This window comes from Homo sapiens, chromosome 5 (assembly GCF_000001405.40).
Source record: "Homo sapiens chromosome 5, GRCh38.p14 Primary Assembly".
NCBI classification, from domain to species: Eukaryota; Metazoa; Chordata; class Mammalia; order Primates; family Hominidae; genus Homo; species Homo sapiens.
Window position 1 is genome coordinate 6,385,232 of NC_000005.10, and position 27,978 is coordinate 6,413,209.

The 27,978-nt window shown below is 46.0% G+C and overlaps 1 long non-coding RNA gene across 1 annotated transcript, besides 2 other annotated features; it reads left to right on the forward strand.

Moving 5' to 3' along the window:
- Positions 22,950–24,149: an enhancer, noted in NCBI's record as "BRD4-independent group 4 enhancer chr5:6408294-6409493 (GRCh37/hg19 assembly coordinates)". NCBI's record gives its function as "activates an origin of replication core promoter dependent on BRD2, P300/CBP, MED14 and CDK7 cofactors, and independent of BRD4, by STARR-seq in HCT116 cells {active_cell/tissue: HCT116}" and the evidence as "EXISTENCE:reporter gene assay evidence [ECO:0000049][PMID:35650434]".
- Positions 23,345–23,639: an enhancer, noted in NCBI's record as "tiled region #12563; HepG2 Activating non-DNase unmatched - State 10:DNaseD, and K562 Activating DNase matched - State 5:Enh". NCBI's record gives its function as "activates a minimal TATA promoter and a strong SV40 promoter by Sharpr-MPRA in HepG2 and K562 cells {active_cell/tissue: HepG2 | K562}" and the evidence as "EXISTENCE:reporter gene assay evidence [ECO:0000049][PMID:27701403]".
- Positions 23,969–26,515, forward strand: LOC124900933 (uncharacterized). The gene is made up of 2 exons (XR_007058678.1): positions 23,969–24,096; positions 24,960–26,515. It is a non-coding gene; the product is annotated as an uncharacterized LOC124900933 (long non-coding RNA).
- The last annotated feature ends 1,463 nt before the right edge of the window (positions 26,516–27,978 follow it).

Below are 27,978 nucleotides of genomic sequence, written 5' to 3' on the forward strand. Positions count from 1 at the left end.
CAGGTTGCGTTTGGAGGCGCTGGAGGTCAGGACTCCAACATATCTTTTTTGAGGGGATATAACTCAACTGTAACACCCCTCCTTCTCTGCTCAAGACCAGCAGCACTCGTTGTCTGTATTGTGATCGCGGGATGTTTAATTCAGGACCAGGCCATAACGAGCATAATGATGGTGTTAGTCCCTGTGATTAACCATCAGCTACAGTTTCTAAAGCACTCATCTCCCAGTTGTCCACAATGACTACTCCAGTGAAGATTGTTCCCTGCTGAAACAAAAAGCATCCCAAGCCCACTTAAACCTACATTGAGACCGGGCACGGTGGCTCACGCCTGTAATCCCAGCATTTTGGGAGTCCGAGGTAGGCAGATCACGAGGTCAAGAGATCAAGACCATCCTGGCCAACATGGTGAAACCCCCGTCTCTACTAAAAATGCAAAAATTAGCTGGGTGTGGTGGCAGGTGCCTGTAATTCCAGCTACTTAAGAGGCTGAAGCAGGAGAATCGCTTGAACCCAAGAGGCGGAGGTTGCAGTGAGCCGAGATCGCGCCACTGCACTCCAGCCTGGAGACAGAGCGAGACTCCGTCTCAAAAAAAAAAATAAATAAACAAAAAGATAAACAAACAAAAAACCTACATTGAAATTCTTCCTTTTACTCAAACAGCTAAGTAATGGCTGCTTTCCCTTTATTTAGCAACATAATACTGTTGGCTTGTTTATAAGAAACGTTTTAACATTTCAACACTCCAGTCCCCAAATGTAAATGAAATTAGGTTGGAAAATTCCAGTAAGTCAGAAGGTCGGCCTGGTAGGAAGCCGTGTGCAGAAAGCCTACAGAGCATTGCTGACTATACGTTTTGTCGCCTTGTTTTCCCTCCGAAGTCGACATGAGCTGCCCCTAGGAAATTTCCTTACTTCTGATACTTGGTGACCTTGAAATCTGGAGGCTGTTTTTTCCCTTCTTCTTTACCTTTTTTTTTTTTTCATTCACACTATTATCGCTCCATCAGCATCCAAAGCCCTTAGTGGTATCATTTGGAACATGTTTTGCCATTCATTCTAATTTATTCTAAGAGCCAGATTCAGCTTAAGTTTAAAAAAAAAAAATGCAGCTCTCCTACCCAGAGGAAGGAACAGCTGGTTTCTGCTTCTCACTTTGAAGATTTTCAGCACATTAGTAGTTCTAGCAGAAGGGAAGATTTGCAACTCTGTTGTTTGATGATGATGGTGATGATGATGACGGTGATGATGGTGATGGTCATGATCATACTGATGACAATATCTGCCATTTTGGAACATATTTTATAGATTATAGACTGTCTCATTTATTCTTCATAACCCTAAAGGAAGCTACTATAATTTGAACCATATGTGGTCAAAAGAAAGCCAAAAAAGTATCCCTAAATACAGAATTAGGAGACAGAATAATTTCATCTGATAGAAAATGCTGACATTATTTTCCCTCAAGAGCTACATTGACACATGAATGTTCAAATAAATTAGGTTTCCCGTTCATTCTATTAGATTCACATACCAATGAGAGTGCCTGACTTGTGCAATAAAAAAATAGAAATTGTATCTTTTTTTACACTAACAAGCATTGAGAAGCCGTAAGATTTCTCTTCTCTTCTGTTTTCCTTTCTATGCAATATTTGCAGCAATGTGCAGCTCTACCTGGAATTCTGTGTGATGTATGTGATCAAATTTTTAAAAGCAAAAAGATGAGATTACACTAATACAGACTGGCATGTGATCCAATCAGCAAATGGAAGTATGCAGTTGGCTTTCACTATCAGCTTTGTTTTTTTGTTGTTGTTGTTGTTGTTTTGTTGTTTTTTTTTTTTTACAAATTGTCACAAGCTCAAAAGAGAGGGCAGGACAGCATTACAGAAATAGGGATAAGGTAAGACATCTAACTCCTTAGCAGATTATACACACAAGCATAGAAATACAAACTTTTCTAGGCTGCATAGCAACTTCACCCTCCTGGGTCTTTCGGCACACGGTGTAAGCCCTGTTATCTCATAGCGTTTTGTAAAAATTAATGACTTTCAGTTGAAGTCTAAGTTTGTCTTAAACACTCCAAAGAGAAATGAGCTATGCTCAATTTCTCTTCTCACATATGCTCTTCTCATTGTGGATGACCCAGAAAACAAAGTCTTACCTTGCAGAAAATCGTGGTGCACGCAGGCCTGGAACACCTGCTCCGGTTCTGATCAAGAAAGACAGATAACCAGGAGACTGTACAGCAGAAAGCATCTGAAAAAAGCAAAAAGAAAGCGCTTTTTCAGAAAACTAAGTAAGAATATATGAAAATTCTTCATTATGGAGGATGGAAGCTCAGAGGAGACAGGACCAACATCTGCACAACTTTGAACAAATACCTGGCTATTAATACGCAAGACAAGAGAACTGGGCTCACCTCCTTCACTTTCTAGAAGGTGGCTGTAGTTTCGTTAGTCCACGTCCTCTGAGGAGCAGATCCCAGGATGGGATTAAACAAGAACTTTCTTAGAAGAAATACATGTGACAGAAAAAGGGAACCAGCATGGCTGGAAGAACCATCAGAACAAAATGCAGGTCTGATCCCAAAAGAAGGGAGGGAGAGAGGGAGGGAAGGAAGGAGGGAGGGAGGGAGGAAACAAAGGGAGTCTAGAAGCATCTTAGACTGTGGTACAGTCCTAAGGAGAGTTTGGTAAGACCACTGAGAAGCCCCCAAACCAAAATCGCTCACCAGCAGAGTCCCCAGGAATGGACAAACCTTAGCCTTCCTGCATCACTCACTCAGTCATTGGCTGAGCAGCCCATGGAGGCAAAAAGTGCAATAGATTTCAAAGGAGAGCATTAGGGCCCTTGGTTAATTCTGCCCTTACCATCAGATATCTGAAAGATGCATTCTTGTGGGTGCCACATTAGGATAAGCAACAGTAATGATGATGATGATGATGATGATGATGATGATGATGATGCCATTTATTGACAACCTATCCAAAGTCAAGGATTGTACTAGGTATTTTACATATATTAAATATAATTATCAAAAACAATCCTCCCTAGGCTGGGTATGATTGCTCCCCATTTTCTCATGAAGAAATTGAAACTTGGGTAAATATTTTGCCAAGAAAGGGTGTAGAGTTGAGTATCTGATCCTTCAGGCATCATATTCTTACCACAGCAAACAAATGAGAGAATTTTTGCTTCTGCAATAAGAAATAGAGTTCGCTGAATTTATTAAGCTAAAAAGTTGAGTGTTTGGTGGGTTTTTTTGGGGGGGGGGTTGTTTTTACAATATAAATTTTTGTTTACAATATAAATAAATGCAGCATTCATTCTACTTAATTCATAAATGACAATGTTGGAAACTAGAGGGCCGGGCGCGGTGGCTCACGCCTGTAATCCCAGCACTTTGGGAGGCCGAGGCGGGCGGATCACGAGGTCAGGAGATCGAGACCATCCCGGCTAAAAAACGGTGAAACCCCGTCTCTACTAAAAAAATACAAAAAATTAGCCGGGCGTAGTGGCGGGCGCCTGTAGTCCCAGCTACTTGGGAGGCTGAGGCAGGAGAATGGCGTGAACCCGGGAGGCGGAGCTTGCAGTGAGCCGAGATCCCGCCACTGCACTCCAGCCTGGGCGACAGAGCGAGACTCCGTCTCAAAAAAAAAAAAAAAAAAAAAAAGAAACTAGAGCCATTGTACTTTCCCACCAAGGAGCTCATGACCACACTGAGCCCTCAGTGACCCCAAATGGCATTTCTTATGTCCCCCTGGCTGTCTAAAGTGGAGCTCAGGTATGGCCAGGAAGGGACGCAGCCCCAGTACTTCTTTGGTATATGACTTTGGCCCATTTCTAGAATTGTCTTGGTCTTCAGTGAGATGGAGCAGGGACTCCTCCTAGGGGCCTGCAGGTCACCCCCTGCCCAGTGAAGAAATAAAGAAAACTCTTAAGTTCCTTCAGGAAAAATTCCAGGCACCTAGCTCACACTGAAAAATAACTGAATAAACAAAAAGATAATAGTAGCTTAAAACAGTAGCCAAAAAAGTTAGTCAAGAGATATGTTATTCCCTATAAAAACTGAAAATAACACCTTAACATATGTCCCTGAGTTATTTTTCAAAAACCTGAACCCCCACCAAACAGATTTGCTAACACATAGACCTCAAATTAAGGGAAACTAAAAACTAAACTCTGGTCACTGTTCTTTGTTCTAAATTTCTTCCTAAGGGGCCTGGGAACGTCACACCCACAAGTTAGAGCTATCAGTTTGGTGCAAAAGTAATTGCAGGTTTTTTTTTTTTTTTTTTTTGCTGTTACTTTCAGTGGCAAAACGTGCAATTTTGCACCAACCTAATAACATTGTTTTCTGCTGATCCCACATTTTTAGACAAAGCTTTGCCTCCTTAGCCAATCACAGATCAGAAATCTTTAAATCCACCTATAACCTGTGGGCCCCCAACTTCCAGTTGTCCTACGTTTTTAGGTCAAACCAACGTATAGTCTCCATATTTGAATTTATGACTTTACTTGTAACCTCTGCCTCCACGTTGGTAAAAACCCTCACCTATGAGCCATCTGGGAGTTGGGTCTTGAACATGGGATGCCTGATTTTCCTTGCTTGGGGCCCTACATAAACGCCTCACTTTCTCTTGCTACTATCCCAACATCAGTCTTTGACTTCGCTGCACCCAGTGAACAGATCCCTGCTGGATTCACTTACATCAGATTTCTCCTCCTGGAAATAGAAGAAATGTGCCTATTGATGTGTGGAGCATCTCGCATGGCACCTGGAATGTAGAAGGCATTTGGTAAACGTGGCTTCCTTCTATCAGTTTCTACCCAAAATGTGCAAAGCCAAGCTTTCCTTTTTGTGCTGTATACTGGCTCCTTCTTCCAAAAATGTATTTGATGATGTCATTCCTCAACCTAAAACCTCCTGACATCACCCCGCTGTCTACACCAGGGATGTTAAAATCCTCTCTCTGCATAGCCCCATCCCCATGACCATGTACTCACTCTATTACCCCAATTCTCTGGGTGAGGCAGGAGGAGAGGAGTGGGTGCATGTGCCCCTGGCAGAGGGAAAGGATTCTCGGAGGGGTGAGACAAGTAGTGTGAAAAGAGTCGACCTCCAGGAAGCTGCTCTGCAGCCCTCATTTCTCCTTTGAGAATCGCTGGTCCTCAGAACAAGTTCTAAATCCTTACCACCTGATCTGATACCACCTTCCCACTGACCAGTGCCCTACAGCCTCATGGGACCCTCACCAATCCCGCCTCTTTGCCTTTGCTGGTTTCTTTTCTCTGCTTTAAAGTCTTCTTCCATACCTTCTGCTTTACTTGGGGAAATCTGAAATAAATGTCAGCATGTTGGTGAAGCTTTTGCTTACTGCCTCAGGCAGAATTAATAGCTTCCTGGTCAGCTCTGACACATCTGGGCCCTGTTCCCTCCTCAGAGGTAGAGAATCTGCTAGAGGCTGAGAACCGTCTCCACCTTTAGACAGAATGCGTTTAGTGGTTACTGCCTGCATCCCAATGAAACCTGCTCTGCCCTTCTGCCATAGAAATGGAATTGAAGCCAGACCCATTGCTACCCACTGTCTGTGTTTCCCGTTGGTATGGTTTGGCTGTGTCTTCCCACCATTCTCATCTTGGATTGTAGTTCCCATAATCCCCACGTGTCATGAGAGGGACTCGGTGGGAGGTAATTGAATCATGGGGGCAGTTTTCCCCATGCTATTCTCATGATGGTAAGTTCTCATGAGATCTGATGGTTTTATAAGGGGCTTCCCCCATCACTCGATTCTCATTCTTCTCTCTCCTGCTGTCTTGTGAAGAAGGATGTATTTGTGTCCCCTTCTGCCATGATTATAAGTTTCCCAAGGCCTCCCCAGACCTGTGGAACTGCGAGTCAATTAAACCTCTTTCCCTTATAAATTGCCCAGTCTCAGGTATGTCCTTATAGCAGTGTGAGAACAGACTAACACACCCAGGCTTCCCTGAAGTGAGCTGTGGCCTTTGCACTAAGGGATGGGAGCAGGAATGATGGGTATCTGCTCGGGGTGGGAACATGAGGCATCAGGTGCATCTTCTTCAGGCTGTCCCTGATGTGCTGGTGATTGGTCCCACCAGGCAGGTGACAGTACCCCAGAGCAGTGGAACACTCTGAGATAATAGAAGTGTTTTGAGATCTGTGCTGTCCAACACGCGAGCCACTAGACACTTGAGCTATGGCTAGTGCAACTAGGAACTGAAATTTCAATTGTCTTTAAATGTATTTAAATTAATTAAAATTAAAATAGTCACATGTCACCAGCGGCAACTGTATCAGCCAGTAGAGCCCCTGAGGATGGAGGAGCAATGGTTTGGAAGGAACATGGATCTTAGAATGCCCAGTGGAGCAGAGATTCTCCACCTAAATGGATTACTTATCTCAGAACAGTTGAGTGAGAGAAAAACAAGGCAATGTTTTAGGACAGTTAGGAAGATAGTATCAATAGTATGACATAATGGGTATATCAGGGACTTGGGGCTCACCTTTTGAGTTCAAATCCTAGCCCTACCACTTAATAACTGTATGGCCTTGGGCAAATGACTTCATTTCCGTGTGCCCCAGAATTCTCCTCACTGCACTGGGGACACTGAGTCCACGTATCACCTGGGTTTGTTGTGAGAATCAAATGAAGTAATAAATGTAAAACACTTAGAATATGGCATCCCCATTTGTTAGCTACTGTGATGACATTTGAGGTCTCTGTTACAGCATCTTAGCTTTGCACGAATGCACCTGGCTTTGCATCACGGCTCCCACATCTACCACTCGGGTGCCATTTGTTTTCTCAGGTTCTTGGGGGTGATGCGAGTGAAGTACTGAGTGCTGTGTCTGGCCCCCATCAAGCACTCAATGTTGGTAGTCACCCTTATATAAAGTGTCATGTTGTCATATCAGTATCTGTTTGGATGTCTCCCTTGGAGGTGTCTCTAGGATAGGGACTGTCATTTCTCTTTTTGTTCTTCATTGATTAGCACAGTGAAGGTACTCGGTACATGGTTACTGAATGATTGGCTGATTGCATAAATAACTCTTCTAGTGTTAGTTTACCTGAAAACCCAATACTGTACCTATTGAGGCTTCTGAGGTGTCCCCTGGCCATCAAATCCCTATGGTACTCTAACAGCAGCATGGCCAAACAAAGGCATTCTGTCCCTGCTGCCCAGATCCTTCCTCACCCTTTACCTTTGCAACACTGAGCGGAACGGCTCTTCACGGGGATGGCCACTCACCCAGGCATCATTAGGAAAGGTGAGGGGGTGTTTTTCGGTGTCACAACACCTGGATAACTGTGTTCTCCAGCTTCCTCTTGCTGCTGTAGCAAATTACTGCAAATGCAGTGGCTTAAACAACACACACTCAGTCCATAAATTCTGAAGGTGAGAACTCTGAAGTGAGTGTCATGGGACTAAAATCAAGCTGTTTGCAAAGCTGCACTCCTTCTGGGGGCTGCGGGGAGAATTGGCTTCCTGCCTTTCCCAGCTTCTGGGAGCTGCTGCATTCCTTGGCTCCCGGCCCCTCCTCCATCCACAAAGCTAGAAATCCCATCACTCTAGCCTCTCCTTCTGTCCTCACATCTCTCTCTCTCTCTCTGACTTTGCCTCTCCTGCCTTCCCCTTGCTTTCTAAGGGTCCTTGGCATGTTGTGTTACATTGTGCCCACCTGCATAATCCAAAATAACCTCCTGATGTGGTTTGGCTATGGCCCTACCCAAATCTCATGTCAAATTTTAACCCCCATATGTTAAGGGAAGAACCTGGTATGAAGTGATTGGATCATGGGGGCAGATTTTCCCCTTGCTGGTCTCATTGATAGTGAGTGAGTGAGTTCTCACAAGATCTGATGGTTTAAAAGTGTGTAGCCCTTCCCCCTCCCTCTCTCTCTCCTGCCACCATGTGAAGATGGTCCTTGCATCCCCTTCACCTTCTACCATGAGTGTAAGTTTCCTAAGGCCTCCAAGTCATGCTTCGTGTCAAGCCTGCAGAACCATGAGCCCGTTAAACCTCTTTTCTTCACAAATTACCTAGTCTCAGGCAGTTCTTTACAGCGGTGTGAAGACAGACGACTACACCTCCTTATTGTAAAGTCGACTGATTACAACCTTAATCCCACTCAGTGCCTTAACTGTCCTGGCCATGGAACCCAACACACTCACAGGCTCTGAAGAGAAGGACATCTTTGCTGGCTGGTAGGGAGGGATTCTTCTGCCCACCAAAGTAACTCTGTGGGCACAGGGTAGGTTGGAGCCTGGGGACACCACACACCATGAGACACTCCTACACAACAGAGTGTACCCCTCAAATGCCAATAGTGCCCTCTTGAGAAATGCAGCTGGAGTCCCACTACTCTAAGCTGCTTTGTGTGTGGTGAGGAATAAAAGGACAGGGGAGCTTTGCTTTTCATCTCAAGTTTCCCTCTAAATCTGTAATTGCAGCCTCCAAAAAAGAAAGAGAAACCAACTTCTCTTGCTTCTTGTAAGAGGAAGAGAAAGAGAAATGAGAGAGACACCTGTGCAGGTACTCAGAGACCAGTGCAGCCCTTCTCCCATGCAGAGACCAGAAGCTCAGCTTACAATTACCAGCCTTCCTGCATGAGTGTGCAGGTAAGGAGGCCCCACCTGTCAGAAGCAGTCCTGCAGGACATTGACTTGAAATTGAGCCCAGTGGGGGAAAGGTGGGTGCCTGTGTCCTCCATACTGATGATGCAGACCAGAGTCGGGAGACAGAGCTTGAGAGTCACAGGTGGCTTCCACATGTTCACCCATGTCTGCTGCAGAGATCTAGGCTTCTCTAGCAAGGCATAAAAGGGGCTGCAGGTAACTAGAGCTGTGTCCAAGGTGTCCAGAGGTTTCCAAGCACTTAGTTCTTTGCACTCAGTTGCTCTCTGCGACTCCAGTTGTTAGACATTCATACTGAATGCTCAAAGATACAAGGTCCCCCCAGAAGACATCGACAGGATGGCACCTACTTCTGCACCTGTACCCACTGGCATCTGTAAGAAACACAGAATGGAGAATTGGAGAACTGGAGGCTATGATAAATGACATCAGTCAACCCCTCATTACACGTATGAGAAAATGGATGAAAAGTATACCCAGGAAAAAGAAAAACTGATAAGCCATGAAGAAACAAGAAGACTTTCAACAAAATTATTTGTATTTGTCACCTTTTGCTGTGACCACAAACAGCCTGAACATGTCAATGGCTTGCACCAAGATCTCTTCTGTCTTGTTTTGAGACATGAAGTGAAGACAGGGGCAGGGTCGGCTGGACCTGCTTGGTTTAGCTTGGGTTGGCGTAACTCATGTCTTCTCATCCAGAACCCAGGCTGGAAGGACAGCCACCTTCTGAAATGCACTGATTCTGTGGTGAGACAAGTGAGGAAGCCTAGGCCAGGCCCCAAGTTCACATGCAAAGGCTCTGCTCAGCCATGGCCAGTGTCTGGCCACTCACACTCTGATGGATGAACAGCCCATTTCACATGGTCCAGCACAAGCCTGTGTGGTGGGAGGATGCTTTTCCCAAGAGCTGAACCAGTGGGAAACGCAGCGCTAAGAGTCACCCAGCATCCTGCGCATGGAGGAGCAAGGGTTGGGAGCGATAACCCAATAGATTGCTCACTGCTGCAAGATCAGCCCGGGGATTCCATCCACCCCTTCCCCCGGACCCTCCACTCTGGTTAATTCCCCCTCAGCTGGAAGAACCCACCCCCAGTTCACCCGGGAGAGTCCCACGTGCCCTGGTCCTGCCCAGGTCTCATCCTGTGGAGCATTCAACCCAGATGGAAGCAGCCCCGGTTCTATAACACACAGTGCAGTCTTCCCGCCCTAAGACCCCTGCGGTGGCACACAGGAAGCGCAGATTCTGATGTCTGCTGGCACATGTTACACATAACACATAACACATAACATAGGTATGTCTGCCTCGTAGCTGATAGACTCTTCTGGTCAGCAGGGATGGGGGGTGGGCCATTTATGAGATCACATCCTATCTACAGAGGACATTCTTGCACAGCCCCGAGGCAGCACAAGGCAGGGGAGGCAGGGGGTACTGGAGCCTCTGTTTGTCACCTGCAGTGAGGACAGCTACGGCAGGAAGCTCAGCTTCTCCAATCCTCCATGTTCTCCTCTGAAAACTGGCTCGAGGCCACGTAGCAAGGTGCCCTGAGGATTGCAGATGAGCGGGGAGTGTGGATTCACACTCCTCCTGCTCAGTCCCAAATCCCAACAGGCCTCAAACCCTAGGGGTGTGGCCACTCGTTCTGCAGCAGGATATGATCTGGACTGAATAGAAGGCTAGTGATAATCTTCTTATATACAACTGAGCACGTGCATTTATACATTTCTCTTCAAAAATAATAATGCATTTGACGACAGGGTACCGACCCAGACTCATGTATACTATCCTTTTATGCACTATCATCTCAGTCAGAGTCCTCCAGAGAAACAGAGCCAACAGGAGATAGATAGAGAGAGAGAGGCTGATTTTAAGGAATTGGCTCACACAGTTGAGGGTACTGGCAAGTATACAATTTGCCAGCTGGAGACCCATGGAGGAGCTGAACCAGCAGGTCAGGTCTGAAGGCAGCATTCCCTCTTCCTTGTGGGAGGTCAGTCTTTTTCTCTGAAGGCTTCCCACTGGTGGGATGAGGCCCACCCGCATTATGGGGGCTAATCTGCTTTCCTCAAAGTCTCCTGACTTAAATGTTAACCTCATTTAAAATAAGATGCCCTCACAGGAATCCAGAATTGTTTGACCAGATACCTGGATATCATGGCCTAGCCAAGTTGACACGTAAAATTAACCATCACAACCATATGATAAATGAAACTAGACAGTCCGAATGCTGACGCAGATCTGGGGCCACCTCAAGGTTTGGGCAAGAACTGTGGGTCCCATCCAGCTGGAGCACAGTCTCTCGGGGGAGTCCTGTGAAGGGACAATTCACAGGACTTTTGTCTACCCCAGCAGAGAGCCTCTGCCAGGGTGACCGGGGTGAGTGTGGACTCATCCACAGCACAGAGTGGTCCCCGGCTGGTGCATGGATCCACATGAGAAATGAGAGGAGTTGGCTGGAGACGGGAGGGTGCAGGGGTTGGTGGGACAAGAGAGGAACAGAAGAGTCGCCTGTGATTTATGGTTCCAGCTCAAATGCCTGGTGGAGAGAGTGAGAGCAAAACATAACAGAAGATTCCAGAGGAGAAATCAAGGGAGTGATGTGAGGCTGAGGTCCTCATGGGACGTCTGGAGGCAGCTGAGTGTGTGGCCCTGTGCGTGGGGGCAAGGCTGTGATAGATGTAAAGAGAGGGGTTTAGGAGATTTCAGAATTACAGGCTGTCAATCTCCATATCGTCTCAGAGGTGGGATGGCTGAAAGAGAGCATGGAGTAAGACGTGAGGGCTGAGGGTGGGAGCCCGGGAAATCTGTAGAGCACCAAAGCAGGGTAGGACAGCCTCCAGCAGCGGGAGCAGGGAGGGCACCACGAGGGGCTGGAGAGAGGTAGGAGAACAGGGAGGCTGAGGGCTGAGAGAGAACGCAGTCATAGGCAGGAGTCGGGCACATCAGCAGCAGGCAAGCAGGTGGCAGGTCACAGGGCAGGCCACTGGGCTGGCCACTGGGCAGGTCACAGTGCTGGCCTCAGGGCAGGCACCGGGTAGGTCACAGTGCTGGCCTCAGGGCAGGTCACAGGGCTGGCCACTGGGCAGGTCACAGTGCTGGCCACAGGGCAGGTCACAGGACAGGTCACAGGGCAGGTCACAGGGCTGGCCACTGGGCAGGTCACAGTGCTGGCCACAGGGCAGGTCACAGGACAGGTCACAGGGCAGGCCACAGGGCTGGCCACTGGGCAGGTCACAGTGCTGGCCACAGGGCAGGCACCGGGCAGGTCACAGGGCTGGCCACTGGGCAGTTCACAGTGCTGGTCACGGGGCAGGCCGCAGGCCAGGTGACAGGGAAAGCCCCCGGGCAGGCCACAGGGCAGGTCACGCAGCAGGCCACCAGGCAAGTTACAGGGCAGCACGTGCTGACAAGGCCCATGTGAGGCACCTAGAAGAAGTAGAAACTACCGCCTTACAGGGACACATGGGGCAGGGACTGCTCTGCTATCATAGGGTGCCTGAGCAGTGAACAGGGCCTTAGGAAGATGCAGGTTCGGGGTCTTGAACAGTGTCTCTGCGGCTTGGGAGTATGCGTGTCATAGATGGCAACACCCTTATCTCCAGCAAGGCTGTTAAAAATGAAGCTAACACTCTATAGAGCTGGCATGGGCAGGTTCCCTTAAAATCACTTCGTGCATGTTACTCTTTAATCCTCCCAACAGCTACAGGGATTACTGCTGTCTCCACTTCTCAGATAAGGAGCAGGGGCACAGGGAGTCTGAGTAGTCTGCCCGAGGCCAGTGGAGACCCGTGCCAGGATTGAGCACGGCCATTGGCCCCGAGTCTAATTCCTAGGACACGCAGTGCTGCCGCCAGCGATAAGGCTCACTGAGATGCCACCAGCACATCCTCCCTCAGGTGTCCTGCTTCTCCTGGATGATCTCTGCTCCAAGTCCACTGGTAGCTCCCAGAAGATATATGTCCATTGTCCTGGGCCCTGGAACCTTTGGATATGATCATATCTTGCTGGGGGTGGGGAGGGTTTTGCAGCTGTAATTATGATTTGGAAATGAGGATATCATCTATGGTGGGTCCTAGATCCAGTGAAAAGAGTTCTTATAAAAGACAAGAAAAACACACACAGGGGAGAAGGCTGCATGAGGGTGAGGCAGAGACTGGAGTGGTGCGGCCACAAGCCAAGGAGTGCCTGCGGCCCCCAGGAGTTGGAAGAGGCAAGGAAGGAGCCTCCCCTAGAGCCCTGAGAAAGGGCCTCGATTTCAGACTGCTGGCCTCCAGAACGGCGAGAGAATACATTTCTGTAGTTTTAAGGCACCCAGTTAGCGGTGACTGGTTATGGCAGCTCTAGGAAACTAACAGGCTCTGATATGAAAACCACGTAGGATCTCCCAGAGCCTGCCCTGAGCTCATTCCCTGCTCACCTCAAGTCCCAAACATCACTGTTCCTGTTACCACAGCTGGGTCCTAGAAAGTGAGGTCCCCAGAGAGTGTTTGAAGATTCTACAAGCAATGGATTGTCGACCTGGAATGTACCTCGAGGAGTCTTGAGTGTGTGAGCATCTGATGTCATGCCAGCAGAATTCAGATTTTCATGAGCCTCAGTGAGGCGGGGTCTGACAGCAGCTTACCTGCCAGCAAGAATAAGAAGTTGGTGACTGAGTCCAAGATTTGCTCAGGTTCAATATATTTCAATTTTATTTTGTATAGTACAACTTTTTCTGCCATCGCTCAAACCCATTCTCACCACCTGAAATCATTCTTCATCGTACAGCAGAAGGAACCAGAAGCAAGTCGCCCTTCAACCAAGCCACTCGTCCAAGCCTTTCTGCTGCCGTCAGCTGCCTGCCCCCCACACTGGTACTCAAAAGGCGTCCAGAGCAATAACGTGGAGTGACAGCCTCCCCTCCCACCCATGACATTGCAGTTCCCCTAATGCCTTTTGAACATGCGGCACTAGTCAACTCCAGTTGTTAACAAGGGTTAGGTGCTGGCTCCTTTCAATACCATGCTTTTTTTCCCCAGATCTTGGAGAGAGGTGTCATAATTTATTAGCACAGCAGAGCCTTTGCATGTGACCCTGTGGCCTGGTCCAGGCTCTCTCACTTGTCTCACCACAGAATCAGTACATCCCAGAAGGTGGCTGTCCCTCCAGCCTGGGTTCTGGGTGAGAAGACATGAGTTACGCCAACCCGAGCCCAACTGAGCAGGTCCAGTTGAGCCACCGCCGGCCCCGTCCCTGTCTCCACTTCATGTCTCAAAAGCAAGACAGAAGAGATCTTGCTGCAAGCCATTGACATGTTCAGGCTGTTTGTGGTCACAGCAAAAGTTAACGAATACAAACAATTTTTTTGAAAGTCTTGTTTTTTCACGGCTTATCAGTTTTTCTTTTTCCTGGGTATACTTTTTATCCATTTCTCAGAAACCATCACAAAAAATAGGGTCATGGGCCTATGCTTGGTATCTGCTTTGCTGAATTGTATATATATATGTGTGTGTGTGTGTGTATATATATACATGTATATGTGTGTGTGCATATACACACATATACACACAAACACAGATATATATATATATATATATTCACAATAACGTCGTCCTCATCCCAGAGCTGTGTTTTCTTAATCTTCCCTCTTCTCATGCTGATCTCCAGGCTGTGGATCCCAGGGTAACACATTTCACAAGCATGCTCATCACAGAAATAATCCAGCTTTGTTTCTGAGTAAAGGTGTAAATAACACTTGTGTGACTATCGTGACTGTACCTTGACCCAAGAATTGCTTGGCCACGAAATTCTCAAAGGACTTTTACACTTAACACAGAAAGTCTTCTGATCAATCGTCTGTTCTAAGGTACATATTTTATCCCAGCTTCTGTAAGAATTACTGGCTTTTAGAATTCCATATTTTGCAAAAATTATATTAATTCTCATTTCTTAAGAGAGAGAATTAACATTTCCCAAAACTTGGCACTATTTATAGATGCTAAATTGGGGACTGGAATCTTTTTTTTTCTTTTTAGCTAACAGGTATTAAAGAACCATTCTATGGCAGGCATTGTTACATGTGTTACCATCATTAATTTTAGACATCCATTTTTCCTTTTGTTATTACTTGGTGCATTGGCCTCATTCTTCTATTCTCTTCTCTCTGTGATGGGTTCCTCTTCACAGGATGCCTCGGGGTGGAAACGGGATGACAGCCAGTGGTTTCTCCACACATGGACTTGCCAGAACCTTTCCCGAAATGCTAGGTTGGAAAACTCACAGCTGATTAATTACCGCAGTCCACGGCTTACTCCGTCGGGTGAGTCAGACACGACTCAGAAGAGTCCCCTCAGGTTGTGTCCTGTGGGAGCCTGCAGAAGCCTGACGTGCTTCTTCCCCAGCATATGTGTGTGTTTCTGAGTGTGTGTGTGCATGAATGTGTACGTGAGAGAGTGTGTGTGTGACTATGTGCATGTGTGTGAATCTGCATGTGTATGCATGTATGTTACCATGTGCCTGTATCTGTGAATATGTGTGTGTAGGGGGGTGGTGGGTAGATGGGGACTTTCAGAATGGAGACAGCCACAGCACTTGTGGGAGGAATCATCTTTGACTTTATTATTGAAATTTTTTCTTTATTCTTCAGTGAAGGTGAATGAACCTGACTTGTAGGTCCCCGGGGACATCTAGGAATCAAAGCAGGACGAAGGGCCTGTGTGTGTCCCTGGGAGAAACTCCAATGGGACCGGATCCTGACATCTGGGGCATTGAGGGCAACTTGCATCCTTGGGGTAGCAGCCAGGAAAGTGGGGAGTGTCAGGAGCATCAAGGGCATGGAATTCAGAGCCCAGAGCCAGGACCAGCACCACAGCACTTGTCCAGGCAGACCCCACATCCACCCCTTGTCCAGCCCAGGCCATCCAGGCAAAAGACCTATTGTTTGTTTGTTTTTCAGTTGTTGTGTACAGTTTTATAAATTTCCCTGATAACACAGTACAAGAATAAAAGCCTCCAGTAGTGCAGGAGGACTTATAAGAACAAGCATCCTCCACCCCAAGCTTCCCGGTCCCCCTTCTCTGAGGAGCCCTGTGAACTGTCCCCACTGTGACCTCTTCTGGTGGTCTCTGCCATCTCTCTAAGTAATGTGCTCCTGTGGGCATTACTTAACTTGTCGATTTAAGCATTGGCTATTGATGGCATGCTCTGAGATATTGAGAGTTCAACTTAATTATATTCTACCACTATACCCAATCAAGTACATCACTATTTTTTGTTTTCCTGTTGGTTCCTTTGTAATATGAAGGAATACACATTCATTTATTGTTCCATCAAGTATAACGCACATACTATGACCCTCAAATGTGTAAGATACTAGCCCCTACTCAATGACTCTTCAGTGCTTTATCTAAGAGGTTGCTATAAACCAACCAACAGGGCTTACCTTGCTAAGACTATGAGAATATACTTACCTACAACCAAATAGTGTGCTTGGATTACGTTTCTTTTACTGTACTGCTTGTTATTTTTCCTGAAGTTTCTAATCCCTTTTACTTTTTAAAAATTTGCCTTCTTCACATCCTTTTATTATTTTCTTCCACCTCTCCAGTGTCTGTTCTATTCAACCAAGTCCTTCTTCCCCCAAAAAACCCTTCTAGGAGTTCCCCAGGTGCCATGCCCAGCTCTGGCTGCTGTCCAGGTGACACCACCTCACCCTGGGAGACGCCTTCCTGCTGGGTGGGACCTGGCATATGGAATCCCTGTCTTCCTGTTTCTTGCTTTGCTTGCACACAAAGTTAAGTAAGTATCTGTCTGTGAAAGGATATTGATACATAAAATATTTGAATGCATACACACCTGAAAAGTTTTTATTCCTGCCTCCATGTTTTATTGATAGTTTGTCTGGGTAGAGAAATCTTGGTTCGATGCCATTTTCCTTCAGAATTTGGACAATGCCACACTGTAGACTTTTAGATCCACGGCGGAGAGCAAGAGATCTTATTTCAAGCTGATGCTGGTTTTCTGAAAGAGATTTCCTGCATGCTTGCTTTTCTGAAATCCGTCAGGAACACATCTGGGCCTACATTTCCTCATTCATAGCATTGAGAACTCAGTGGGATTTTTCAGTCTGAACACTTTCGTTCTTTAATTCTGGGAAATTCACAATGTCTTTGTATGTGATGCCTTCCACTCGATTTTCTTTTTATTGGCTATTAGTCTTGTATTGGACCTCCTACGTTGTTCCCTCAGGTCCTTTACTTTTTCACTTATATATTCAGTCTCTTTTGCTATTATTCTCTCCTCTGGGAGATTTCTCTATTTATATTCCAAACTTCATTGATTGTTTTTTAATTTCAGCAATTGCCTTTTATTTCAGCCATGCTTTGTTATTCTCTGATGGCTCCCTTTTCTTATAAAACCCTATTTTTGCTTAGCAGAAACAATATATCTTGAATCTCTGAGAATACAAAATAGTGGGGTTTATTTCTTATTTACCAAAAAAGTATTCTTTTGTTCCATGTTTAGCTGTGTTTGCTTTGGCACATTTCCTTTCCTGTTTATCTAGCTTGGTCTTTCTAGCTCCTAGTATCTGTTTTCCTTATCCATTGATTCTCACCCCTTCTCAGTTAAGTACAAAGCAGGGCAAAGCTGCCCAGGAGCTCAGTCTGTGTGGGTAGAGCTCATTAACTGGCCGGCTTCCCTTCCCTTCGCTTGGCTAGGAATGGTGGGAGGCGACCATTATGCTTCGGGGTCCCTAAATGCAAGAAGGTAGAGTGTGTTGCTTGGGAAACCAGTTTCCAGAACTACCTAAGTTATCCCCCGACATCTCATCGAATTCCTTAAGAAAATCATTCTACTTTAGGGAAAGAGGGTAGATGAGGGCATGGGGATTATTTGTGTTTGTTGTTGTTATTGTTGCTTGTATTAGAAAAAAATTCCTAGTAATATGATATTTTTCCTGGGAGCTGGAGGAGTGTTTAATCCTTAAAAACTATAGCATATGCTACAATCGTGTCAAAAACTCCTTACAGTAAGGCGCAAGGAAATTTAATCAGAGATTTCTGTGAAGCCAGCAAAACTAGCAGAATTCAAACCTAGACAAAAAAATGGTCTGACCTTCTTAGATCATGATAAAGCCTAAACTTTTACGACATCCCCGACGAGTACTAAAACCACAAGGCTTTTCTGCATGTAAAGACTGGAGCTGAAATGAAACAGAACTCTTCAATTACTGTGCATCAGAATGGGTTTGTGGTCTCTCCTGAAATGCACGCTCCTACTATTCATAGCTTCCTCTTACTTCAGTGTATCAGCCTTCCTCAAATTACATATGAAACTAGATAGCTTTACTTGCCGCAGTCTTAAAGGTGGAAAGTGCCTTAGTAGTCACCTGGTTTAAGTTCTAATTTTAGAGATGAGGAAACTGAAGCCCAAGGAATTTTTTTAAGTGAAATGTCAAAGTCACGCAAGCACAAGTGGGAGATAAAAGAAGGGAGATGGGATTGGAGTGAAAATACTGTGGTCTTGTCTTTGTGCTGCCATAACAAAATACCTGGGACTGGATAATTGATAAAGAACAGAAATGTATTTCTTATAGTTCTGGAGGCTGGGAGGGCCAAGAACCAGGTGCCGACAGCTCAGTATCTGGTGGAGGCTGTTCTCTGCCTCCAAGGTGGCACCCTTTTGCTGTGTCCTTCCATGGCCGAAAGGGGCAAAAGGGAAAGAAGGCTGAATCCTCATAGCAGAAGAAATGGAAGGGTAGCATGGCAAAAAGGCAGAGTCCTCATGACTTACTCACTTCCTACAAGGCCCTACCTCTCAACACTATCACAGCGGGTATTAGGTTCCAACATACACATTTTGGAGAGATGCAAACACTCAAACCATAACAGGCCTGTCCCTCGTTTTGCTGGTTTGAGTTGATGTATTCTAGCTGAAGTACTGGCTGGGATGTGTTTCTGGTGTGTTAATATATAGACATAAGTCCTGGTAGCAGAAATTTTGGGTGTTCTAAATCCCAACAGATCTTGCAGAATATCAAAATTACCTGAGAAATATAAGCTTAGCATTTCAGGTGGCCTTTTAAAGGACAAGGAAGACACCCCTGGACACATTTGCATAAATCCATTCCAACCATTATTGTCTGAATGGGCAGGTGAATTTTTGGAAGCCAAATGGTTCTTCAAGACTCCTTATGAAGCTGTCAGAGCTGATTTAGATGGCTCCTAAGAAGAGTCAGAGATTTGACGAATTGTAATGTGTTAGGAATTCTAAGAGGCCTTAGAGGTTAGCCACTCTGATGTCTTCATTTTACAGGTGAAGAACAAAATGCGTAAGTAACTCGAACAAATTTGCACAGTGAATAAATGACAGAGAACAGAACAGCCATCACTGGCTGGTTGACTGGGGCTTTCCCATCTGGGACTTTTCTACTCACTGTGCCACGTGACCCACAGGACACTGTTCCCCAGCCAGGCACATGGACCTCAGATCATGAGCATCCAGATGTGTGGTTAAATACCAGCTGACACATTCCCCAAGACTGTTCATTCCAGATACACACAGACCATTTTTCTTTTAAAAAATTGAATCACATATGGCTATATCTCTGTGTGACTACCGTGCTTATAAGGAAGACATAAGGCTGTATCCTAATTAATGATTTTTAAAATTATTCTGGTAATGATAAACTCTTCCAAGCATTTCCTGGGATCTTAAAGATGGGAATTTTCTCAAACCAGCTGCTGTGAGAAATTATTTTCATACCATTTCCTCAGAAATCTACTTTGGATTCCAAATCTTTATATCTGCTTAATACTTTAAAGAATGTATTTCTATTCCCTTATTAACTTTCCTTTATTTGACTTGCAGTGAAATTCAGTGAAGAAACAAAAGATGATGTGTCTAGAGTTTACCTGGGAAGCTTACCTCTTCTTTGGAGTGTTTTAATGGGACTATGTAGTATACATTTACATGGTGCATTTGTTCCACTAACAACTTTAAATTTTATTAATTTTAACTAGGCATGGTGGCCTCAGTAGTCCCAGCTACTCAGGAGGGAGACAGGAGGATTCTATGAGCTCAAGAGTCCGTGGCTGCAGTGAGCTATGATCACACCACTGCACTGCAGCCTGGGCAACGGAGCAAGACCCCTTCTCAAAAATAAAAAATAAAAAACTTATCAATTTTGAAATCAATGCACATCAGGATACAGAATCTCAATGAGAAATATTTGTTGGGTTTCTTTTTTTGAAATGGAGCCTCAATCTGTCGCCCAGACTGGAGTGTGCAGTGGTGTGATCTTGGCTCACTGCCACCTCCCTCCACCTCCTGGGTTCAAGTGATTCTCCTGCCTCAGCCTCCCGAGTAGCTGGGATTACAGGAGCCCCCGACCACACCTGGCTAATTTTGTATTTTTAGTAGAGATGAGGCTTCACCATGTTGGCCAGGCTGATCTCGAACTCCTGACCTCAAGTGATCCACCTACCTTGGCCTCCCAAAGTGCTGAGATTACAGGCGTGAACCACCAGGCCCAGCCTGAGAAATATTTGTTGACCAAATATTTCTCAATTCCACTTGGCACACACAAATAAAGTTCCCTTTTCAACCATCTGGCGCCTGCCATTCTCTCTGTTTTAATACAGGTGGTTTTGTAGCAGGACTGTACTAGTTGAATGTGATAACCGATCTTTTGGCTATTCCATCTGATTATTTCTGCCCAGCATTCTTAGCAAGTAACTTAATATTGGCAAAGTATTGGAAGAAAATTTCAAAATATAAGAAAAGGAGCCTTGAGAATAACAGGATCTATGGGGGGCGGGGATGTCAAATCCACGGATGTTACTTCCGAAGCCAGCAAGGCCTGCATCTCCCTGAGCAAACAGTGGGCATGCCCAGAACTGCCATCAGCCCCAACTCAAGTGCATGGTTCTCCCCTCGTTAGTGGCAGCCTTGGTGGGCCACTTTCCTCCTCTGGGCTTCTGGTCACTCACTTGCAAAATGGGGCTCTGTGACCAATGACCTGTAGGGTTTGTCCCAGTGCCAGAAGCCCATGTTTCTATGGCACAAGTGAAATAAAATTTTTCCATGGAATGTAGTTCAAAAAAAAGCCATTTGAAATGTCCCTTCTGGCTTTAGCAACAGTTTGTGTTTTTTGTTTGTTTGTTGTTGTTGTTGTTTGTTTGTTTGTTTTTTAACTGAAATCTGCACAGCTCTTTACCAATGTGCTGAATGCATTTCAGATTGTACAAAAGTTGAAAATGCTACATATCTCAGTGAGAAGCACATTAAAAATCTTTTAAAAGTGTTCATGTCAACTTCCATCTTTCATTTTCAGGGTCATATTTCATTGTGAATTGTGATGTTGACATTGAATTAGAAATACTGTTAAGTGCAAATATGCATGTACAGTTACATAATACAGGTGAATAATCTTGTTTAATTAAGTTTCATAAAATCTTGAACATGATCCATGGGCATTTGCATCAGCACTTTGAAAATTGATGGCATGACTTATTGTTGTGGCAGAAGCACTGGTGAGCAGGGATCTCTGTAATGAGCCTGATTCCTCCTTGACAGCTCCAATTTCATAGCATGGTCCATCTCAGGAGCCCTCAGAGTTGACCATGGGACAACTGGCTGCAGAAAGACACAGCTTGATCGCGTATTTTTGCTTGCACAGGCCATACCCTGTTCCTGCGGGGGGTGAGGTGCCCTAGAGGTCAAATAGCTGTGCCCCCCCACCCCCCCCACTCCTCAGCAAGGATACTCTCACAGAGGCATACCAGCTTCCGGGCTCCTGCCACCACACAATTCCAGTGGCTCCAGGAATGCCCATTCCACGCCAAAGGCTTCTCTGGAAAAACACAGGTTAAACCAAAGCCAGCTGTCATTTGGGTGGTGACCCGATTCAACATCACAACAAACAGGGCAGATCCAGGCAGGAGCTGCTGATGAGAAGAACAAAGACCTCAGGGAGCTGCGAGCCTTGTGCCAGCCTCCACGCCCTCTACCCCTTACAACACTTTCTGAACCCACATTGCTTTCAGCGTTCATAGGATTCTGTTTCAAAGAAGGTATGGGATCTGTACAGAAAAGAGCATTTACCTTAACATCAGCCCAGAAACCTTGGGAATGAGTCAGTCATCATAGGGCAGAGGGATGTGTGTCTCCAGGTGAAGAAATGAACAAAATGCATAGCACAGCCTAGCCTGACCATTCTGCCCACTCCAAGAACAAAGCAATAATGGTGGGGGAAGTGGGGAGCAGCCACACTCTGCCTCTAATAAAATGGGGAGAGGAAGTAATTAACAGATCCTGGGGATGAAATAAATAAGCCCCTCAGACACTGTAACTTCAGCTATTTGGCAGATCTTATCCAGAAGTTTTTCTGCTCTCTCATCAGGGTGGCTTCTTTGAGGATTTCCCACGATTATGTCTGAAATGCATTCCCCTCAATATTCCAATTCCAGAGCAGTCTGACTTGACAACAACAAACAAATCAGACCAGACAAGCAGTATTGATCCAGCAGGCGTGAATTCGGAGCCACCACGTTGCTTTCTTTGTGATTACAATACGATAATGGAATACCCACGGTGTCGCCAGCCCTGAGCAGCAACAAGGCACAAATCCTGCCTCGTGTCATCTGAACATCACAAACTTGCAACAAAAAGAAACGATGGCTCAGTCCTGTGCTGACCCTGCAAATGCAATTCGAGTCTCCTTCCCTCTTCTCCTTCCAGAGATTATAGGCACAGATCTGGCCATGGGGGTGAAAAGTGCTTCTCCTCTTCTGAAGAGATTCAACAATAAATAAATATCACAAGTAAAAGCTACTGCATTAAAATATTTTAAATGAGAGAAACAAAATCCTAGGCACCCTGGACAGAGCTCAATTAATGACTTATAGACTCCAGTCCATTTTTGGTAACACTGTTGATCTTCCCATGTGAAAACCTAACAGGAAGAAAATGCATCTAAAAAAGCTGGGCTTTTTACGAGATTGTTCCCAGTACAGGTACCTGGAACAATTGATAAAAGACCTAAGGTGGATTTGCTTTGCTTTGAACCCTCACCCTCCTACGGAAGACCTAGATAGCCCTTCGAAAGGCATAAGTGCTCTGTAAAAGTACTCAAGAGTAAAGGCATAATAAACCGTGGCTGCAAGCAGGCATTTGAAAGTGACAACCGAGACCTAAGGGGGAGTTTAACAATATGTTTGTGACAGATAAGTTTGAATATGCAGGATTGGAAAGATAACATTTCTCAACTGCTTCTTTAATTATAGCCTTGAAGAGGAGGTTGTCACTTCTACCTTCATTCAGGAAACTGTCTTGTGATGTCTCCATTAATTATGACTGTCTATGTATTGCCAGGGAGCTTTCCCATTCCCTGACACCACCAAGGCCTGGCAGCAGGTCTCGGGCTGGGGCAGAGCCTCGTTTCCTGGTTAGTGGTCAGTGCAGCTCTCCAAAACAGGACTGAGGTCAGCAGATCATCTGATCAGGCTCACGTAGCTCCACCTCTTGCCTTTGGTTAGGTGCCCCATCATCTGGGGTACCACGGCCACTCCTGTAGCACTGGCCATCCAGACACCAGACACTAACATCTGTCATGTCATCACTGAACAAGAGCTCTCTGCCTTACTGATGTTTTCGTTATCTGTTGGCAAAAAAATAAATTCAGGGGACATGTGGACCCACCTCTCAAAAAAAAGCCAAATAATGTATGTGAACTTTCCCCTCCATCCGTGGAGCTTAACACCGCCCCTGCCCCATTGAGTGTGGGCTCCACTTAGTGACTCACTTCCAAAGAGCAGAGCAAAGGGAAAGTAGTAACATGACAGCGGAGGAAGCTGGCAGACACCACCCAAACCCAAAAGGTCAGGGTTATCATCCCCAGTGATGTCATGTCCATGACATGATGCAATACAAAGGAATCTTCACCTTCGTGGTATTTTTTCCAAAAATTACCCAGAAACCCAGTGTAAACAGGAGGAAAACAACAGAGAAGCAAAATGAAAGGACATTTTACAAAATGCCTTGCCAGCACTCCTCAAAAGTGTCAAGGTCAGGAAAAACAACGAGGAAGGGCTGAGAAACTGTCACAGACCACAGGAGACTAAAGAGGCATGACCAATGCTGTGGTCTGAATGTGTCCTCTCCGAAATTCAGGTGTTGAAACTTCATGGCCAATGTGATAGTATCAAGAGGTGAGGCCTTTAAGGGTTGATTAGGCCATGAGGGTTTCTCCCTTGTCAATAGGATTAAGGCCCCCATAAAGAGGCTTCGTGCAGCATTTGGCTAGCTTGCTCTTCTGCTGTTTTGCCACAGGTGGACACAGCGTCCCTCCCCTCTGGAGGATGCAGCAACAAAATGCCTCCTTGGAAGCTGAGAGCAGCCCTCACTGGACAACAGAACCTGCTGGCGCTGTGATCTTGGACTTCCCAACCTCCAGAACAGTGAGAGATACATTTCTGTTATTTATAAGCTACCCAGTCTTAGATATTCTGTTACAGCAGCACAAACAAACTAAGATTAAGCAGTGTGGGATCCTGGATGAGAAAGAGGACATAAGTAGAAAAATGAGTGAAATCCAAATGAAGTCTAGTGTTTGGATCATAGGAATGCACGAACCTTCATCTCTTAGCTGTAGCAAAAGCACGATGGTCACGTTAGATGGGAGCATGAGAGGAAGCTAGGTGAAGGATACGCGGGAATGTAGCTAGATTTAGGAGTAGGTAACTGAGGTGCTGGAGTGTGAATTTAGGAATGTGCTCACTTTTGGAACCATCCCTGTGTGACCCTGTGCTATCTTTGCAAATTCTCTACAAATCTAAAATTATTCCGAAACAAAAAGTTTATTAAAGAATAAGGCGCTGGCTAGAACCTTGCAATATCTCCTTTAGGGTACAAAACAGCTACATGCTCAGCAAGAGAAAGGGAGAATCTGACACACAATGTCCAGGAGGGTCTAGCCCACTTCAGGCCTGGGAGAGAAGGGTCGTCCTGTTGTACCTGCCATCCAGGTGCACATGGGCCTATGGGATAAATGTGCAATACAGGAGATACTGGCATTAGATGGTCCCAGCAACCAAATCTTGGGCATGATAGTCATGCAGGAGCTCCCCCGGTAAAGTATCCATATTTACAATACCTAAAGGGATTCTTTAACTTGAGGCTTTATAAACCCAACCAAAGTTAAGTTGAGGATGGTTGGCCCACAGGCCACTGATGTATTAATGGACTCTATGTACTGCTCACAGGCACCATGGATAATATACTATGGGTTCTGATAAGAATTGTCATTTTCTTTTCCCTCAAGGACTGACTGTAGTCATAAAGCAGGATGGACAGCATCCAGCTGGGTCTTGAGTGGTGGCCCATACCGATGTGGACTCCCATGATCTGGACTGGCTGGGAGGATGCTACTGCCTGGTGGCCCCACGCCTGTTGGCCATGGGAGTTTTGGCCTTCACGTGTTAACTGAAATAATGAACACCATGGTGCTCCAGGTCTCTCGCTCCCATCCAGGCATTCTCCACCTGATATCTCTCTGGAGGGTGGATGCTTTTGTCAGCTGTGTCCTCAATAAACTGCAACCAGGCATGGGGCAATGTGGAGGGAGGGAAGAGATTTAAATTCATTTTCTGGGGGGAAGAGTCACCTCCTACTGGAATCAAGAGCTAAAAAGAGTTCTCCCATGTGTGCAGTGCCACGTAACTTCCGGTGTAATGCCACGAAACACCCACACGTGGAAAACACAGTTGCCAGTTCTTCCTCCTCCACCGTGCAGCTCCGGGGAGCTGTGGGGAGCCAGCCCCCTCCAGAATTATCTGATGCCAGCGTTGGCGTGGACATAATAATGAACAAATAAGCATTTTTTTAAATTGACAAGGTGAAAAAGAAGGTTTAGGATTAAGGAATCTTGCCTGAGGATTAGTCGAATGTCAGTGAGGAGAAATAACACTGAATAGACCCAAAATATGTTTTCAGGAAACCTCGAAAATGCTTTCTGCATAATATTATATCTCCCTCTGCTAGAACTGCCAATTTTGAGTTTCTCACTATTTTTATTTTCTTGAGAAATGATCATTTTTATAAATAGCCTTTTAAATGTCAAACTAACTGGTTGAATAATTTATCTCTACTTCTTATCCTGAATAACTCAACCCTTGCTTGATTTTCTAAAGGGTTGGGGGAAAGGGGTTCTCAGACATAAGCGCCCAGAATAAATCCTTCTGTCTGTTAGAGGCTTTGGCTGTCTCCTTTCCCGCGGGTGGTGTGGGCTCCCTGTGGCTGGAAGGCGGCTGTCCTTCCGACGGCTTGCTTCCGCTTGGCTCTGCTCGCTCTTCAGTCACAGCCACAGCAGGGTCCATGAAGGCAGATGACAGACGGGAACCCCCAAGAGGCACCTAACCAGGGATCACGTGTGCTTTCCATGAAGCCACAGGAGGACCATGACTCACTCCTCAGAGCAGCAACCCAGGGCTGCGGCATGATGGGCCTGGTCGGCGCTGGGTGCCTCGTTCGGTGCCGGCAGGAACCAGCACGCACTCAGGCTGATGAGACCAGGAGGGTCAGCTGGACCCTGACCATGGTTCTCAAAGGGTGTGCCAGGACCTGCAACAGAAGCACCACTTGGGAACTTGTCAGAAATGCAAATTCTTGCCCCTCCTCTAGGCCCGCTGAATCCTAAACTCTGGAGGTGGGGCCAAGCCATCTGTGAATGAACTCCCGCTCCGGGTCGCACCGACCCACCCTCACGTGTGAGAACCCCGGTCTAGGACCCTGGTTCTCCAACTCGCCTGTATATGTTTTCAAAATGCTTGACCTCTCACTGGGAATTTTTTAAAAAATAAATTTTAAAAATGCTAACAAGTCGATCGCCACAGATTGTGATTCCGTTTCTGTGAGGTGTGGTGTGGACATCGGGCTTTTCGGAATGCCCCAGGGATTCTGATGGGCGGTAAAGTTCGAGAACTCCTGGCCCACAGCAATCCCAAAGCTCTGAGCCTGGGCTCCTCCCGAACCTGGCGCTGCGCTGTCTTCCAGGCCCTGAAATCCCTTTCTCTCTGAGGGTAGTTCTAGCACAGGGTTCACTGCTCTGACGGCGCCTGAAAATAAACCCGGGAGATTTCTAAAGGTTCTCATTTAATTGTTTTAGATTGTTTGCATTATCAGTTCTTAGTTAATCCTGATGTGCAGCCTTAGGTGAGAATCAGAGACTAACTCTCACCCCCATTCTCTTCTGGGTAGAATTTTTCCTCTCCGAACAACATCTGAAATTATCTCCAAAATCAGATGGCAGGGGTGGGTGGGGGATGGGGGGGGGACTCCTCCCAAAATGCCCCAGGGCTAAAAGTGCCTCCTCTTAGTAGCAGTTTTAAATACTTTGGGCCCTAGTTGTTCCCAGACCACCTCTCCTGATTGACGTTTCCAATGACCTGCGGGTTTCTGCACTTGTTCTAGGTCCTTGAGTCACAGCAAACCAGAGATCTCTGCGAGAAACGCTTCCACCACATCATCCTCCCCACCTCCTGGGCCAAGCCCTTGTGCTCACGGCACCTTTACTTCTCTACAGCAAAGCAGAAAAGATTTCACTTTTCTCCCTTAATGCTCTCTGGGGCTCTCTGTTTGTATTCAAAGGGGTATCCCTAATTAGAGAAATTTTATGAAATTCCTTAAAATAAATAATCCCAAATTGCATTTTATCATAGCCAGTTTCACTGTAACTCAAGTGTCCTGGTGGATGTAAATCACATAGAGAAAATCAAGACCTTCATTTCTAAAACAAGCATACAAATTCTTCTCTAAAACATCTCAGCTCAGCTCTGACTTCCTCCAGAAAGCCCTCCCTGGTTTCCCTCAAGATAAGACTCATTGTGAAAGGCCTCCTAGCTCAGTAGACCTCTCCTCCTCATCATGGACAGAGTCCGAAGCCACTGATTTGTGAGGTGTAATTCCTCTCTGTCCTGTGAAGGCAGGGCCAGGCTGTGTGGTCCCTCTTGTATCCCCAAGGCTTGGCTCAGTGGCCGGCACAGTTGTCAAATAAACGCAAGCCTGTTCCTCCTCCTCCAAAGAGTAGGAATCCTTTCCCCCATCTTGGCAGCTTTCTCAGGAAAGGCAGAATGGGCTGCTCATGAAATCAAAAGCCTCCTTGAGAAATGTAACATTCCACATGGAAGTTTAAAGCCAGAAGCAGAAGGAATGCAGTCAGTGCCGGAGGGTGGCTGGCTGCACACGGCTGTGGGGCTGTTTGGTTTGAGTTTGCTAGGTTTGGGGATGCTTTTGCTCAAGACAGTTAAGCACAAAGGAGGGAACATTGTAGGGGTTGGGTCCTG